Source organism: Homo sapiens, chromosome X (assembly GCF_000001405.40).
Source record: "Homo sapiens chromosome X, GRCh38.p14 Primary Assembly".
NCBI classification, from domain to species: Eukaryota; Metazoa; Chordata; class Mammalia; order Primates; family Hominidae; genus Homo; species Homo sapiens.
Genome location: NC_000023.11, coordinates 19,420,690 through 19,438,210, shown reverse-complemented (window position 1 = coordinate 19,438,210; position 17,521 = coordinate 19,420,690). Strand labels below are relative to the sequence as shown.

Sequence of the window (17,521 nt, the reverse complement as noted above, 5' to 3'; positions counted from 1 at the left end):
TTGAGCCCAGGAGCTTGAGCCTACAGTGAGCCGTGATCACACCACTCAGTGCATTCCACTTGGGCAACAGAGCAAGACCCTGCCTCAAAAAAACAAAAGTGATAATAGATGAATATGTTTGTATATTACTGTGAAAAACTGAAAAACAATCCATTTAAAGCAGTTATCCCTCTAAACTCTAATCTCTTGTCCCGTCCATATTCCGGAAGTAACCTGTCTTGTCAGTTTGGTGTAATATCCTTGGAGACAATTTTCTATGTACTTTACATACTGTGAAAATATGTCATACTGCAGAGTTTTTAAACTATAGGACCACACAGGAGGTATACTGTTGTTTTTTTCACATAGTAATCGATGCTTAGAGATCTCTCCATGTCACTACAATAACTGCTCAGTTAGTCATTCATTTAACAGACACTTATTGATCACCTACTTTGTGCCAGATCCAGTTCTAAGTACAGTAGTTAACAAATCAGACCCAAAAAGTCTCCACCCTCTCGGAGCTTGCATTCTAAAATGGGGAGATAGAATAAAAAAAACCTAAATGTATTAAAACAGTTTAGGGTGATAGGGTAGCCAGTAAGTAGGATGGGAAGATTGTAATTTTAAGTTGAGTGCTCAGAGAAGACCACACCTATTAGAAAGTGACATGGAGCAAAGATCAGAAAGAGGCAAGGGAACATACCATGTGGTATGTGGGGGAAGATCATTTCAGGTAGAGGGATCAGCATGTGGAACAGCAAGGAAGCTTGTGTAGCTGGAGCATAGTAGGTGATCGGGGCACAGGAGTGGTAAGAGATGAGGTTGGAGAAATAACTAGGACCACATCTTGTAGATCCTTACAGGCCATTGGAAGAAAATTGGTGTTTGCTCTAAGATGGGAGCCACTGGTGAGTTTTGAGTCGAAGGATGACATGACCTGCCTTACAGCGCAGAGGATCACTATGACTTCTGTGTTGAGACTAGATAGTAGAGAGGTAAGTGTGGAAGCAGGAAATGACATGGCTTGGACCAGAGTGGTAAGGGTGGGCTTTATGAGGAGTGGGTCAATTTCAGATGTAGTTTGAAATAAAAGCCAGTGGAATCTCCTGGTCCAATAAATGGTGTTAGAGGAACCAAACATGACTGCAAAGTTTTTGGCCTGAGTAAGAGGAAGAATGGATTGGCCATTTAACAAGAAGAGGAAGACTGTAGAAGAACAGGTTTGATGGGACAATCAAGAGTTTGATTTGGGGCCAGCCATGGTGGTGCACACTTGTAATCCCAGCACTTGAGGAGGCCAAGGTGGGCAGATCACTTGAGGCCAGGAGTTCAAGACCACCCTGGTCATCATGGCTAAACGCTGTTTCTACTAAAAATGCAAAAATTAGCTGGGCCTGGTGGTGCACGCCTGTAATCCCAGCTACTTGGGAGGCTGAGGCATGAGAGTCGCTTCAGCCTGTGAGTTAGAGGTTGCAGTGAGCTGAGAATGCATCACACCATTCCAGCCTGGATGACAGAGTTGAGACTCTGTCTGAGGGGGACAAAAAAAAGTTTGATTTGGGACACGTTAAGTTTGAGGTATCAACATGCAAATGAGTTGCTGAGAGGGCAGTTGGATATGTGAGTCTGGATTTTAGGGGAGAGGCCTAGGCTGGAGATAGAAATTTGGAAGTCATCAAAATATGGATGGTTTGAAAAGTCATGGCAATGGATGATCAAGGGATCTAGGGTAGTTACCAAGAAAGATGAAATGTCCAAGGGTACTGCCAAGGGACACTCCAATGTGAAAAGATCAGAGAGATGGACTAAAGTAGGAGAAAATCGGGCGAGTGTGGTGTCCTGCAAATCAGATGATAAAAGTAGTCCAAGGAGGAAGGGGTGCACGGTTGTCAAATGCACATGTATGTGAAATAGGACAAGGAGTGAGAAGGGAGTGGTGGATTCAGCAATGATGCCAACCCACTGACGCAGAAAGTCCAGCATGAGAAGCACTGATGTCTGGGTCTCCAGAGATTCAGATTTAAGCTCCTAGGTGATTGAATTTTTTTTTTCTTTCTTTCTTTTTTTTTTTTTTGACATGGCGTTTCCCTCTTGTTGCCCAGACTGGAGGACAATGGTGCGATCTCGGTTCACTGCAACCTCCGCCTCCTGGGTTCAAGTGATTCTCCTATCTCAGCCTCCCGAGTAGCTGGGACTGCAGGCACCTGCCACCATGCCCTGCTAATTTTTGTATTTTTAGTGGAGACAGGGTTTCACCATGTTGGCCAGGCTGGTCTCGAACTCCTGACCTCAGGTAATCTGCCCGCCTTGGCCTCCCAAAGTGCTGGGATTACAGGCGTGAGCCACCACGCCCAGCCTCCCAGGTGATTCTAATATGCAGCCAAGATTCAGACCCACTGTCAAAGTTTCCTTCTCTTAATTGTGAAATGGCCTTAATTGCCAGAAACAGATGTTGCTGGCTGATTCAACATAGGAGTTTTTATCTGTAGGCTTGTTCTTGGATACCTTGGGATCTGGAAATGATAAGCAGATCCAAAAGCTGATTATTAACCACTAAAGGGATTAGCTATTTAACACCTGTCTTAAAGTGGCTTTTAAGCTGAAAATCTCTTTGCTTTTAATTTTTTCAAATGTTTGATTTTTGTTTTGTTTATACTCAAAAGACTTTTTGTTTTGAGTAACAAGGGTAAATTTCAAGTTAATGAGAAAATTCAAGGGAAATCTTGATGTAACTGGTCCAAAAAACTAAAATCCAAACAAACCTGAGCTCATATCACTAATTAGGCATTAGCTTGGGCAACATGGTGAAACCCCGTCTCTACAAAAACTACACAAATTAGCCAGGTGTGGTAGTACGTGCCTGTAGTCACAGCTACTTGGGAGGCTGGGGTGGGTGGATCGCTTGAGCCTGGGAGGTTGAGGCTGTAGTGAACCGAGATCGTACCACTGCACTCCAGCCTGGGCGACCCTGTCTCAAAGAGAAAAAAAAAAAAAAAGCATTCAAGTGAGTTTATTGAGTTTAGTACATTCTTTTCAGAATCATGAATATTTCACACCTCAAAAGTTGGCTAATTACAGATGTAGAAATGTTGTGCCTCATAAAAGTTTCAATCTTTTTCATATTCTTGCCACAGACATTAGAAATTATTTAAATGCTCTAGTAAATTTGAGTTGGTATCTGTTGGCTCTTAAAAATTAAAGAATATTATACAATGGCTGTGCAACAAGAGATCCAGTTTGCAGGTTAGTTCAATTAGATTCTATATGACAAAAAGAGGAAAGATAAAATATGTTAGAACAGGATCAAGGTAGAAAATGGAAAAAGTCCGAGTCAAAATACAGGCTTAATTATTACAGGTTTCCAGAAGGTCGCCAAGTGTCTAGATTAGCCCTTTCCAACCCAGGTTGGGTTCCACAAGAGAATTAAGTCCTAATGCCCGCTGGCATCTATTGTATGAAGTGATTGAATTTCTCTTCTGCATCCGGAATGAGGCTGGCTACGTACCATCCTTGGGAGCACTGAAAAAATAGTCACTCAAATAATCAAATAATTTTTTCCAGGGATTAATTCTGTCATGGAACCCCGGTTGAGAAAGTCTGGCCATTTTAGATACTAATTTGACATCTGGGATGATGCAGTAGTTTTTGAGGTGCATGTCCTCAGGAAAGAAAACATAAAAGAGCCTATTGTGGCCGGGCGCAGTGGCTCACGCCTGTAATCCCAGCACTTTGGGAGGCCGAGGCGGGTGGATCACCTGAGATCATGAGTTCAAGACCAGCCTGGCCAACATGGTTAAACCCCATTTCTCCTTAAAAAAAAAAAAAAAAATTAAAAAATTAGCTGGGTGTGGTGGTGCACACCTGTAATCCTAGCTACTTGGGAGGCTGAGGTGGAAGAATCGCTTGAACCTGAGAGGCAGAGTTGCAGTGAGCTGAGATTGTGCCACCACACTCCAGGCTGGGTGACAGAGTGAGACTCCATCTCAAAAAAAAAACAAAAAAAACCTATTACCAAGAAATTAAAAAGAATAATTTATTCACTTATTAGAATGGTTATTAATAAAATATACCCAGGACCACCTTGTATAAATCCCAGCAATGATTTTCTGAACATTTTAATATGTATCCTTACAGACTTTTGTCTATGTACATTAACATGTGAATGTGTTTATTTCAAAGAATGGGGTCATGCTTTTCATTTAGTTCAGGTTTTTTCCATGAGATGTTACTGTTACGGATGTTCCTCTGGGTAATTACACGTGGATCTGTCCCTTTATAATGATTACGTTATTCTGTAGTCTGGTTGTTGCAAAATATATTTTGCTGTTCTTCCGTTAATGGACATCTGAGTCATCTCCAGTTCATTACTATTACAAGCAGTGCCATAACAAACATCTTTGTTCAAAAAATTCTTGAAAAAAGATGTACATATTACAGATTCTAGAAGTGGAATCGTTGGGTCAGGATGGGTACCTGTTTTGTTTTTGTTTTTGTTTTTATCATGTAAAATCACAAATATATTTAAAAGTAGGGAATAGTGTAATTATCTTAGGCAGGGTTCTCCAGAGGAACAAACCAATAGGATGTATAGAGATCTAGAGGAAGAGATGGATTATGAGAATTGCCTCAGGTGATTCTAGAGGCTGGCAAGTCCCATGCAAGCTGGAGAACCAGGAATGCTTGTGGTGTGATTTGGTCTGAGTCCAAAGGCCTGAGAACCAGGGATGCTGTTGGGGTAAGTCCTGAAGCCAGAAGGTCCAAGATCCAGGAACTCTGATGTCTAAGGGCAGGAGATGATGAATTTCCCAGTTCAAAAAAAGAAAATTCACTCTTCCTTGGCCTTTTTGTTCTCTTGGTACCCTCAATGGATTGCGTGATGCCACCTGCATTGGTGAGGGTGGTCTTCTTTACTCAGACTCTTGATTCAGATGCTAATCTTATCCAGAAACACCCTCATAGACATACCCAGAAATAACGTTTTACTAGCTTTCTGGTCTTCCTTAGCCCAGTCAAGCTGACACATAAAATTAACCATCACAATAATAAACCCCCATCTACCCCATATCCACTTTGATAATTATCATTGCATGGCCAATTTTGTTCCCCTTTGCCCCCACCCACTCTTTTATACCCCAATGCTGGATTTATTACAAAGCAAAGACATACCATTTTATCCCCAGATATTTAAGTGTGTATCTTTAAAAGCTAAGGACACTTGGCTGGGCACGGTGTCTCACGCCTGTAATCCCAGAACTTTGGGAGGCCAAGGCGGGTGGATCACCTGAAGTCAGGAGTTCAAGACTAGCCTGGCCAACATGGTGAAACCTCTATTAACATTACAAAAATTAGTTGGGCGTGGTGGTGCATGCCTGTAATCCCAGCTACGTTGGAAGGCTGAGGCACAAGAATTGCTTGAACTCAGGAGGTGGAGGTTGCAATGAGTTGAGATCATGCCACTGCACTCCAGCCTGGGCGACAAAGCGAGACTGTCTCAAAAAAAAAAAAAAGGTTAAGGGCACTTACAAAACATAGTCATGATTACATTATCATACCTAAAAATGAACAGTTTTTAGGTTTTATATTATCATACCTAAAAATTAACAGTTTTTCTGTCAGTGCTCAAATTTTCCCAATTGTCTTTCCTTTTCTTTTCTTTCTTTTTTTTTTTTTTGTTGAGACAGAGTCTCACTCTGTCACCCAGGCTGGAGTGCAGTGGCACAATCTCGGCTCACTGCCACCTCTGCCTCCTGGGTTCAAGTGATTCTCCTGCCTCAGCCTCCCAAGTAGCTGGGACTACAGGTGCCTGCCACCACACCTGGCTAATTTTTGTAGAGGCAGGGTTTCACCATGTTAGCCAGGCTGGTCTCGAATTCCTGACCTTAAGTGATCCACCCGCCTTGGCCTCCCAAAGTGCTGGGATTACAGGTGTGAGCCACTGTACCCAGCCTCATATGTTTTATAGTGGATTTGTTTGAATCACAGTCCAGACTATGTATGTTGCATTTAGTTGATATGACTCTTAAGTCTTTTTTATTATATAGGTTTCCTCTTCACTTATTTTTTCATTTCCTTATGATTTACTTGTTGAGATAGAATCAAGTAGGGACTGAGTGTAATTGTATAAGGTTTACTGGTGTGGATCTTAAGCAGTGGCTACATTGGAAAATGAAAACTATTATTTAGAAATAATTTTTCTGTTAAAGTACAGCATCCTTGCACCTGTCTTTCAGCATGATGAATGCGTATATGTATTTCACTGTCTTTTTAAAAAAAAAAAAAAAAAAAAAAGCAGGGTCTCACTCTGTCGCCCAGACTGGAGTACAGTGGCATGATCTTGGTTCACTGCAACCTCTGCCTCCCAGTTTCAAGTGATTCTCCTGCCTCATACTCCCAAGTAGCTGGGATTACAGGCGTGGGCCACTACCACCCGGCTACTTGTATTTTTAGTAGAGACAGGTTTTCACCATGTTGGCCAGGCTGGTGTTGAACTCCTGACCTCAAATGATCTACCCGCTTCGGCCTCCCAAAGTGCTGGGATTACAGGTGGGAGCCACTGCACCTGGCCTCTACTCCATTGTCTTGATTGATTCATTTGTGACCTTATAACATCTATCTTTCAGGAGAAACAGCACAGGTGACCGTGAGAAGGCTCTGCAGATCATGCTCCAGGTTCTGCAGAGCTGTGATCACCCGGGCCCCGACATGTTCTGCCTGTGTGGGAGGATCTACAAGGACATCTTCTTGGATTCAGACTGCAAAGATGACACCAGCCGCGACAGCGCCATTGAGTGGTAAACCCTCAGCCCGAGTTATGAGCACTTGCATCTCTTCAAGGAACAGAATCGCATAGGCTAAGGATGTGCATCTCTTCCTTATGTATATGTCTGTCTGTTGGCAGGGAGCAAACATTTGTAGTAAATGTGGTCTGGGAATTTTCAGATTCCCTTTTTGAGAGAAAACCATGAGAAACAGGGTTTTCTACTGGTCACACTCTTCCCACAGGTACACTTGTTTATGGGCCAAGAAGGAGGCCCAGCACACTCCTTCCGAGCTCCCACTTCCAGAGCCTTGTCCACCACCACCAGGGCATCATCTTCCCAGTGATCTGTTCATTCATTCACTTATTCATTCATTTATTTAACAATGTTCAGTGATGGCTTACTGTGTGCCAGAAACTTTTCTAGGTGGTGGGGATACAGACACAACGGACGTGAATCCTGCCCTTGGGGGCCTTGCATTGCTGGTGAGGGAAGTTAAAGAAAGTGACACATTAGGATGTCATCTGAGGGCTATGGGGAAAGGTTAAGCAGGGAAGGGGATAAAGGAGGGCTCGGAGGGGTGGTCTGCAATTTTAAATAGGGTAGTCAGTGAAGGTGCCTAAAGATAGAAAAGTGATAAGGGAGTGAACTTCACAGATAACTGGAGAAAGTGTTCTTGGTGGAGGAAACAGCAAGGGCAGAGACTCTGAGGATGAAGCATGGCAGGCACACTCCAGGATGGTCAGCACTAAGCAAGGGGTGAGTGGAGAGCAACATGAAACAGGAAGAGGGTAAGACCTTCTTGCTCTGAGTGAGAAGGAACATCAAATGGAGGGTTTGAGCAGAGGAGTGACAAGATTGGACATGCATTTTAACAAGAGTACTCACTGTTATGCAAAGAATATATTTTAGGGAGTGTATCAGCTATCACTTGCTGCGTAACAACCCCAAAACTTAGCAGCTTCGAACAGCAATGATTATGATTTTTCATGATTCTGTGGCTTTGCCAGGCACTTCTTCTGCTGGCTTCACCTGGGCTGGCTTCTAAAACTGAAGTCAGCTGTAGGGTCAGGTGTGGCTGGAAGATCCAAATGACCCCGTACACATTTGGCAGCTGGTGTTGGCTACTGATACTGTACCTTAGCTCTCCACCATGTGGTTCTAATCCTGGTAGACCAGCTTTCTTACCTGGTATGCAGAACTCTAAGAGAGTGAACAAGGGAGCAGCAAAGCCTCTAGAGGCTTAGGTTCGGGAACTCACACGTGGTTACTTCTGCCACATGCTATTGGTCAAAGCAAATCACAAGGTCCGCCCACATTCAAAAGGGTGGAGGAATGTGCTCCACCTCTGGCTAGGAGGAATAGCAAAGTTGCATTGCAAAGGTGCATGCATATTGCGATGGGAGGAATTTGTGGCCATTAAACAGTCTATCACAGGGACAAGGACAGAAGCAGGGAACAGGAGAATATAGCAGTAATTCAGGGGAGAGCTGGTGGTGGCTTGAGCCAGGGTGGTGGGGACAAAAATGTTGAGAAAGTTGGATGCAGGATATATTCCGAAGGTGGAACCAACAGGCCCACATCATTCATTTCCATCATAAGAGCTCTTGACATTGCTGTTCTGCTTTCATTCAATTCTAACTGCTTCCTCTCTCTCTCTCTCTCTCTCTCTCTCTCTCTCTCTCTCTCTCTCTCTCTCTCTCTCTCTCTTCCTTTCATACACACAGGAGGCTCTGTCCTCCCCACCTTCTCTCCATCCACACTTACTTCTCTGACAATCCCAGCCACTCTCACACCTAGGGACCCTTAGCTGGAGCTCTCCAACCCAACATCCTAAGTGATGGCCTTACACCTCCCCCCCTTTGTCCACCTGTTCTACCTCAAGATGATGTTGATATTTCAGACTCAACATTTTGAAGGCTGAAGTCATTTACTCTTCTCCACAAGGTATGGCTTCCAATGTCTTACTTTCTTACTACTATTCTCTACCCTCCTAGGTCTAAACTTTCAGTCAGTGTTGGATTCATTTTGCTCACTTACCTCCCCGTCCAGTCAGGCCCCATTTGCAGCCCTTCTGCGAGCCTTCTTTCACTGCTTGCCAGTCCTTTCCCATCACCACTGCCCCCAGTCACTGCCATTTTCTTTTTAACTTTCTTGCCAGGAATGTTCTAACAGTACCCAAGTAGACTCCCTGCTTGCTGTCTGCTCAGTCTATCCTTCACAGATTTATAGCTTATTCTTCCTAAAGCTCAAGAACCCACCATGGCTCCCTGCTCCCTGCTATATAAAAATTCAGACTCTCAGATCACCATTCTAGGTGTCCTGAACACTTTCTCCAACCTACCTCTAGCCTTGTTTCCCACTACCTGGTGTGTGTCCAACTAAACTGTAGTTCCTAAGGAGTTTTCCAAACTCCTGTCTCTGTTCCTGTTTTCTATGCTGAGGGCTCCCTTTCCAAATCACTGCTGTTTCATTTCTCTTGCCCTTTTTTTTTCTTTTTTTGAGACTGAGTCTCACTCTGTCACCCAGGCTGGAGTGCAGTGGTGTGATCTCGGCTCACTGCAACCTCCACCTCCCTGGTTCAAGCAATTCCCCTGCCTCAGCCTCCTGAATAGCTGGGATTACAGGCACATGCCACCATGCCCGGCTAATTTTTTTGTATTTTTAATAGAGATGGGGTTTCACCATGTTGGCCAGACTGGTCTCAAACTCCTGACCTCAGGCAATCCACCTACCTCGGCCTCTCGAAGTGCTGGTATTACAGGCGTGAGCCACCACACCCGGCCTCATTTCTCTTTATTTTTATGCCATATCTCAAGTATCTAGGTGAGATAGCCCTATATGTCTTCTGTGAGTTCCTCCAGACTTGAATTTGTGTGATTTTAAGATACCATATTCTTGCTTACATTGTCACTAATTATGTGTAGATCTTATTCCCTTCCACCATAGTGTAAGTCCTTGGAACATAATGACCTCATTTTCTTTTTTTAAATTTCCAGTAGTTCCTAATGCACCATGTGGTGGAGAGGAGTCACTCAGGGTATCGAAGGGAAGTTAATGTTTGGTAAAGCCAAAACAGAAAACTGTGTTCCCACTATGGTGGTGGGGAATTCAGTCCCCAGGTCAGAAAATCACTGCCTTTGGTTCCTTCAAGAAAGTCCTAGGAGTTTTTCTCCAGCGGCTTCAGAAGGTGGTGGCGGTAGGTGCAGAAGCAAATGAAGCTTCGTCTTCTGCTCAGGGCGTGGTGGCTGTGGATAAGATCTATCTTGGATATCATCTAACCCACACTCTCCAGTGCAGACACGGAGCATATGGCTCAGGGAGGTAGGGAGCTGGTCCAAGACCACAGGGCTGGTTAGTGGTGAATCTGGAACTATGGTCCTGCCTGGAGTTCAGATCTTCTCTGCCCCTAAGTTGGGCCTGCTTGACTTCTGGAGGAGCAACCCTTTCTGCCCTCTTCTCAGTATGACTTTTCATAGTAGAAGAAAATAAAACAGTCACATCTAGAAGGATGTAGAATTTAAAATTCCCAAAACACACAGGAAAAAAAGGGTTGAATTTTGTTGACTAAGGTAGGAAGGACTTTCTCGGTGTCCTCTGATCTGAGGGTATTTGTATTATGCCTCAGAATTGATAATGCCATATTTTAACTGACTTCAATGATAACTTCTCCTTTCAAGAATTAATATTTTGTTGTTGAATTCTCTTGCCATCACATAAGTGACAAAATTACTACTAGCAAGTCTTTGGTATAAATGGTGCCACTTAAAGACATTTGTGTCATTACTTCATTGAGTTCTTTTTTTCCTGCCTATAATTTTCATACTCGTTCATAGAACAGAAATGAACTTTTCATGTATAGAAAAAGATGAGAGTGAAAATGTCACTGTTAACCTTTGGTGTAAAAATAGGATTCCCAATTTTGTATCCTGTTGCTTATCCTGATATAGTAGATCCCTGTCCCTGGCCTCACTTTGCCACTGCTCCTATAGTTATTTGGGATCCAGGATTTTGGCAATACGGCTTCCTGCATGAAAAAACAACTCCATATTGTTAAAAGCAAACAAACAGCTTGCAGAGAAATGGCCTACCATTGATGCCATTTCGATGTAATAAAAAATACTCAATGCATAATTGGAATCCAACTTTAGAAACAAGGTTTAGGTGGGCAGGGTGGCTCATGTCTGTAATCCCAGCTACTTGGGAGGCTGAGGTGGGAGGATCGCTTGAGCCCAGGGGTTCAAGGCTGCAGCTATGATTGTGCCATTGCACTCCAGCCTGGGTGACAGAGTGAGACCCTGTGTTTTAAAAAATGAAAAAAAAAATGCATAGGTGTGTGCATGATGGCACAAACCTGTGGTCCTAGCTGCTTGGGAGGCTGAGGTGGAAGGATTGCTTAGATGCAGGAGTTTCAGGCTGCAGTGAACTATGATTACACCACTGTACTCCAGACATCAAATCGTGGTGATCTTTTGGGAGTAGGATTAGAATTGATTTTAAATTTCTTTTGTGTACTTCATGATGATTTCCCTATTTTATATAGTCCCTGAGGCTTTTATAATAAAAATCCTATGAGCAAAAAAAAATTAAAACTCCCTAGTGTAAGTTACTGTGTTGCTATTATGACTTTTTTTTTTTTTTTTTTTTTTTTTGGAGACAGATTCTCGCTCTGTCACCCAGGCTGGAGTGCAGTGGCACGATCTTGGCTCACTGCAGGTTCCACCTCCCGGGTTCAAGCTAATTCTCCTGCCTCAGCCTCCCGAGTAGCTGGGATTACAGGCACACACCACCACACCCAGCTAATTTTTGTAGTTTTTTTGCAGAGATGGGGTTTCACCGTTTTGGCCAGGCTGGCCTTAAACTCCTGGCCTCAAGTGGTCCACGTGCCTCGGCCTCCCAAAGTGCTGGGATTACAGGCATGAGCCACGGTGCCTGGCCTATTAAGACATTTTTAAAGTTACTAGAGAGCTGCATGTGGCTGTTGGTAAAGGTGGTGGTGGGAGGCGAGGGGAATGGGCAACAACAAATTTAGAGAAAGAAAACTTTTCATGAGAAAGTTGGTTTATACCATTATTTAAACATTTTTTGTTGTAATATAATAATACTTTGGTGGTTCTGTAATTATAGGTATCGCAAAGGGTTTGAACTCCAGTCATCCCTCTATTCGGGAATTAATCTTGCAGTTTTGCTGATTGTTGCTGGACAACAATTTGAAACTTCCTTGGAACTAAGGAAAATAGGTAAAGCTGCTTATTATTGCAGATGTTGTTGCTTTGATTATACAAGTTTGGCATTAAAAGTTATGTTGAAATAACTAGCATTATATCATTATATTTCTATTCTTTTTTTGAGACAGAGTCTTGCTCGGTTGCCCAGGCTGGAGTGTAGTGGTGTGATCTTGGCTCACTGCAACCTCCGCCTCCCGAGTTCAAGCAATTCTCCTGCCTCAGCCTCCTGAGTAGCTGGGATTACAGGTGCCCACCACCACGCCCAGCTAATTTTTTTTGTATTTTTAGTAGAGATGGGGTTTCACCATGGTGGACAGGCTGGTCTCGAACTCTTGACCTCAAGTGATCCGCCTACCTCAGCCTCCCAAAGTGCTGGGATTACAGGCGTGAGCCACCGTGCCCGTACTACTAGAATTATATTTCAAAAGGAACAATCAGTTACTTTTCCTATAGCACACCTGAGACAGCAGCCAAAATAAAATACCTGCTTATCCTCAGTATGACAGAAACTAAAAAAGATTATTCTGACTATCAAAAATTCAAATTCTTAAGGTGTCCGGCTGAACAGTTTGTTGGGAAGAAAAGGGAGCTTGGAGAAAATGAACAATTACTGGGATGTGGGTCAGTTCTTCAGCGTCAGCATGCTGGCCCATGATGTCGGGAAAGCCGTCCAGGCAGCAGAGAGGTTGTTCAAACTGAAACCTCCAGTCTGGTGAGTTGTGTCTGTGTGTTGTCATCACCCATCTCAATACATGATCTTGTTCTGAAATGTCTTCCTTATAATCACTATGTTTCTCCTTCTGACTTTTCATTAAAGCAAAGTTAGCACAGACACAACTGCTCTGAGAATTCCCTTGCTTTTATGTGAAGGGAGGGAAAGACAGATCCACACAGAATATATCCCTGCCTGCTCCACCCCTGAGATTAGGCCTTCTATTCTATTAATTTCTGCAGGTTGTCTAGGTCCTCAAGAGAAAAACACTCTTGGCTACTAGTATGTATTATGCATTTGTGAGAAAGCATATAATAAAATGAAAAAAGCACACCAAGAAAATGTTTATCACAAATGAAAACTGGAACTAAAAGAACAATAATAGGGTATGGTAAATAAAACGGTGGCACAGCAACAGCCTTACACGGCCATTTAAATGTGCAGGAAAGAATGTTTGGAGATGTGGAAGTGTGTTCGTGGTTTGTTGTAGAGTAAGAAAAGCCAGTCCCCGGGTAAGTTTTTCTGTATCAGTGGTTCTCAAATTCTGTTGTGTGTCAGAATCAACCTATGTTGATTAAAACACAGACTGGGTGTAGTGACTTATACCTGTAATCCTGGCACTCTCGGAGGCCGAGGTGGGAGGATTGCTTGAGCCCAGTAGCTTGAGACCAGACTGGGTAATAGAGTGAGACCCAGTGTCTACAAAAAAAAAAAAAAATAGCCAGGCATGGTGGTGCACGCCTGTGGTCCCAGCTACTCGGGAAGGCAGAGGTAGAAGGATCGCTTGAGCCTGGGAGGTCAAGGCTGCAGCGAGCTGTGATTGCACAACTGCAATCCAGCCTGGGTGACAGAGTGAGACCCTGTCTCAAAAATAAATAGGTAAAATAAAGAAAGAAAACACAGATTGCTGGGCCCACTCTCAGAATTTCTGGCCCAGTAGGTCTGGGGTGGACGCCTGAGAATTTGCACTTACAAATTACAAGCTGCTGCTGCTGCTCTGGTGACCACACTTTGAGAACCACTGTTCTATATGATCTTGTTTTAATTAAAAATATGTGTTTGGCATGTGACTTGTAGGGAAAGGCCCAGGAGGGGTGGACAGTATTGGATTTCCCCATAGACATGAAGCTCCGTTAGAATTGTGGTAACAAACCTGCATGTTGCACACATTTACCCTAGAACTTAAAGCATAAAAAAATATATATATATATGTATATATATGTGTGTATATATATGTGTATATATATGTGTGTATATATGTGTGTATATATATGTGTATATATATGTATATATATGTGTGTACATATATGTGTGTATATATGTGTGTGTGTGTGTGTATATATACATGATTTGCTGGAAGGACTCACAGAACTCAGAAAAGCTGTTACACTCTTAGTTATGGTTTATTACAATGAAAGGATACAGATTAAAATCAGCAAAGGCAGAAAGGTACATAGGGTAGAGTCCAGGAGAGACCACGTGCAAGCTTCCAGTTGTCCTTTCCCAGTGGAGTCATGTGAATAGTGCTTAATTCTCCCAGCAAAAATGTGTGACAACATGCATGAAATCTTGCCAACCAGTAAAGCTCATTGAGCCTTAATGTCCAGGGTTTTTATTGGGGATGGGTCATGTGGGCATGGAGTCTTCATGCAGCTGATATTAATACCTCAGCTCCAACCTCTCTAGAGGTCGAACTGATACAGTGTGGCCCAGGGCCCCGAAGATGAATCATATCGTTAGCATAGACTATCTGGGATGGCCCAAGGTCCCAGATAAACAGAGATGCTCTTAGCTGGCAGTATATCCCAAGGGCTTAGAGGTGATCTCCCAATAGCCAGTCCAGGGCCAGATCTTTCTTTTGAATGTGTGGAGTTGGGACAACACAGGCCTGCTGAGTGCCCAAGCAAGTCGGTTGGAGTCTAGCTGGCCTATCTTCCCAGGATAGCTCCAGCTTTTATCCTTAAAGAGCAAAATAATACTATGATGCTTTCAGTTGAACCATTCCGTTTAGTACCAAAGAGGTTGTGACCACCACTGCCTGGCAACTATATTCCAAAAAGTTCAGTTTGCCTGAAAAGAGCAAAGGTGTGGTCAGAGTCAAGATGTCATAACATCAAAATCTACCTAGTCAGATTCTAATATTTCAAAAAATAAAAGACAGTGAGTTTGACTAGTGATTGCCAGAAGTAAGGGAGGGGGTGGGATGGGAGGGAGGTAGGCGTGATGGTGGGAAGGCAACACAAGGGGTCCCTGTGGGGATGGAAATTTCTCTAACTTGCCTTGTATCAGTGACAACATCCCGGTTGTGATACAGTACTATAGTTCTTTTTTTTTCTTTTTTTTCTTTTTTTCTTATTATACTTTAAGTTTTAGGGTACATGTGCACAACGTGCAGGTTACTTACATATCTATACATGTGCCATGTTGGTGTGCTGCACCCATTAACTCATCATTTAACATTAGATATATCTCCTAATGCTAACCCTCCCCCGCCCCCACCCCATAACAGGCCCCGGTGTGTGGTGTTCCCCTTCCTGTGTCCATGTGTTCTCATTGTTCAATTCCCACCTATGAGTGAGAACATGTGGTGTTTGGTTTTTTGTCCTTGTGATAGTTTGCTGAGAATGATGGTTTCCAGCTTCATCCATGTCCCTACAAAGGACATGAACTCGTCCTTTTTTATGGCTGTATAGTATTCCATGGTGTATATGTGCCACATTTTCTTAATTCAGTCTATCGTTGTTGGACATTTGGCTTGGTTCCAAGTGTTTGCTATTGTGAATAGTGCCACTATAAACATACCTGTGCATGAGTCTTTATAGCAGCATGATTTATAATCCTTTGGGTATATACCCAGTAATGGGATGGCTGGGTCAAATGGTATTACTAGTTCTAGATGTCTGAGGAATTGCCACACTGACTTCTACAATGGTTGAATTAGTTTACAGTCCCACCAACAGTGTAAAAGTGTTCCTATTTCTCCACATCCTCTCCAGCACCTGTTGTTTCCTGACTTTTTAATGATCGCCATTCTAACTGGTGTGAGATGGTATCTCATTGTAGTTTTGGTTTGCATTTTTCTGATGGCCAGTGATGATCATTTTTTCATGTGTCTTTTGGCTGCATAAATGTCTTTTTTTGAGAAGTGTCTGTTCATATTCTTTGCCCACTTTTTGATGGGATTGTTTGTTTTTTTCTTGTAAATTTGTTGGAGTTTATTGTAGATTCTGGATATTAGCCATTTGTCAGATGAGTAGATTGCAAAAATTTTCTCCCATTCTGTAGGTTGCATGTTCACTCTGATGGTAGTTTCTTTTGCTGTGCAGAAGCTCTTTAGTTTAATTAGATCCCATTTGTCAATTTTGGCTTTTGTTGCCATTGCTTTTGGTGTTTTAGACATGAAGTCCTTGCCCATGCCTATGTCCTGAATGGTATTGCCTAGGTTTTCTTCTAGGGTTTTTATGGTTTTAGGTCTAACATGTAAGTCTTTAATCCATCTTGAATTAATTTTTGCATAAGGTGTAAGGAAGGGATCCAGTTTCAGCTTTCTCCATATGGCTAGCCAGTTTTCCCAGCACCATTTATTAAATAGGGACTCCTTTCCCCATTGCTTGTTTTTGTCAGGTTTGTCACAGATCAGATAGTTGTAGCTATGCGGCATTATTTCTGAGGGCTCTGTTCTGTTCCATTGGTCTATATCTCTGTTTTGGTACCAGTAGCATGCTGTTTTGGTTACCGTAGCCTTGTAGTATAGTTTGAAGTCAGGTAGTGTGATGCCTCCAGCTTTGTTCTTTTGGCTTAGGATTGTCTTGGCAATGCAGGCTCTTTTTTGGTTCCATATGAACTTTAAAGTAGTTTTTTCCAATTCCATGAAGAAAGTCATTGGTAGCTTGATGGGGATGGCATTGAATCTATAAATTACCTTGGGCAGTATGGCCATTTTCACGATATTGATTCTTCCTACCCAGGAGCATGGAAAGTTCTTCCGTTTCCTTGTATCCTCTTTTATTTCGTTGAGCAGTGGTTTGTAGTTCTCCTTGAAGAGGTCCTTCACATCCCTTGTAAGTTGGATTCCTAGGTATTTTATTCTCTTTGAAGCAATTGTGAATGGGAGTTCACTCATGATTTGGCTCTCTGTTTGTCTGTTAGTGGTGTATAAGAATGCTTGTGATTTTTGCACATTGATTTTGTATCCTGAGACTTTGCTGAAGTTGCTTATCAGCTTGAGATTTTGGGCGAGACGATGGGGTTTTCTAGATATCCAATCATGTCATCTGCAAACAGGGACAATTTGACTTCCTCTTTTCCTAATTGAATACCCTTTATTTCCTTCTCCTGCCTGATTACCCTGGCCAGAACTTCCAACACTATGTTGAATAGGAGCGGTGAGAGAGGGCATCCCTGTCTTGTGCCAGTTTTCAAAGGGAATGCTTCCAGTTTTTGCCCATTCAGTATGATATTGGCTGTGGGTTTGTCATAGATACCTCTTATTATTTTGAGATACGTCCCATCAATACCTAATGTATTGAGAGTTTTTAGCATGAAGCGTTGTTGAATTTTGTCAAAGGCCTTTTCTGCATCTATTGAGATAATCATGTGGTTTTTCTCTTTGGTTCTGTTTATATGCTGGATTACATTTATTGATTTGCATGTGTTGAACCAGCCTTGCATCCCAGGGATGAAGCCCACTTGATCATGGTGGATAAGCTTTTGATATGCTGCTGGATTCCGTTTGCCAGTACTTTATTGAGGATTTTTGCATTGATGTTCATCAAGGATATTGGTCTAAAATTCTCTTTTTTGGTTGTGTCTCTGCCAGGCTTTGGTATCAGGATGATGCT

The 17,521-nt window shown here is 42.7% G+C and overlaps 1 protein-coding gene across 6 annotated transcripts in view; it reads left to right on the top strand.

The window, feature by feature from the left end:
- The window catches only part of MAP3K15 (mitogen-activated protein kinase kinase kinase 15), a 155,450-nt gene that overhangs the window by 77,298 nt on the left and 60,631 nt on the right, over positions 1 to 17,521 (top strand). For 5 of the 6 annotated variants that reach the window (XR_007068188.1, NM_001001671.4, XM_011545508.4 and 2 more), the window contains 3 exons: positions 6,603 to 6,773; positions 11,868 to 11,980; positions 12,521 to 12,680. Coding sequence is in view for 5 of the 6 variants with exons in the window: in NM_001001671.4 (NP_001001671.3) it covers positions 6,603 to 6,773; positions 11,868 to 11,980; positions 12,521 to 12,680 (444 nt within the window). In the remaining variant the exon portion in view is untranslated. The other variant, XM_011545510.3, reaches the window with a different exon arrangement.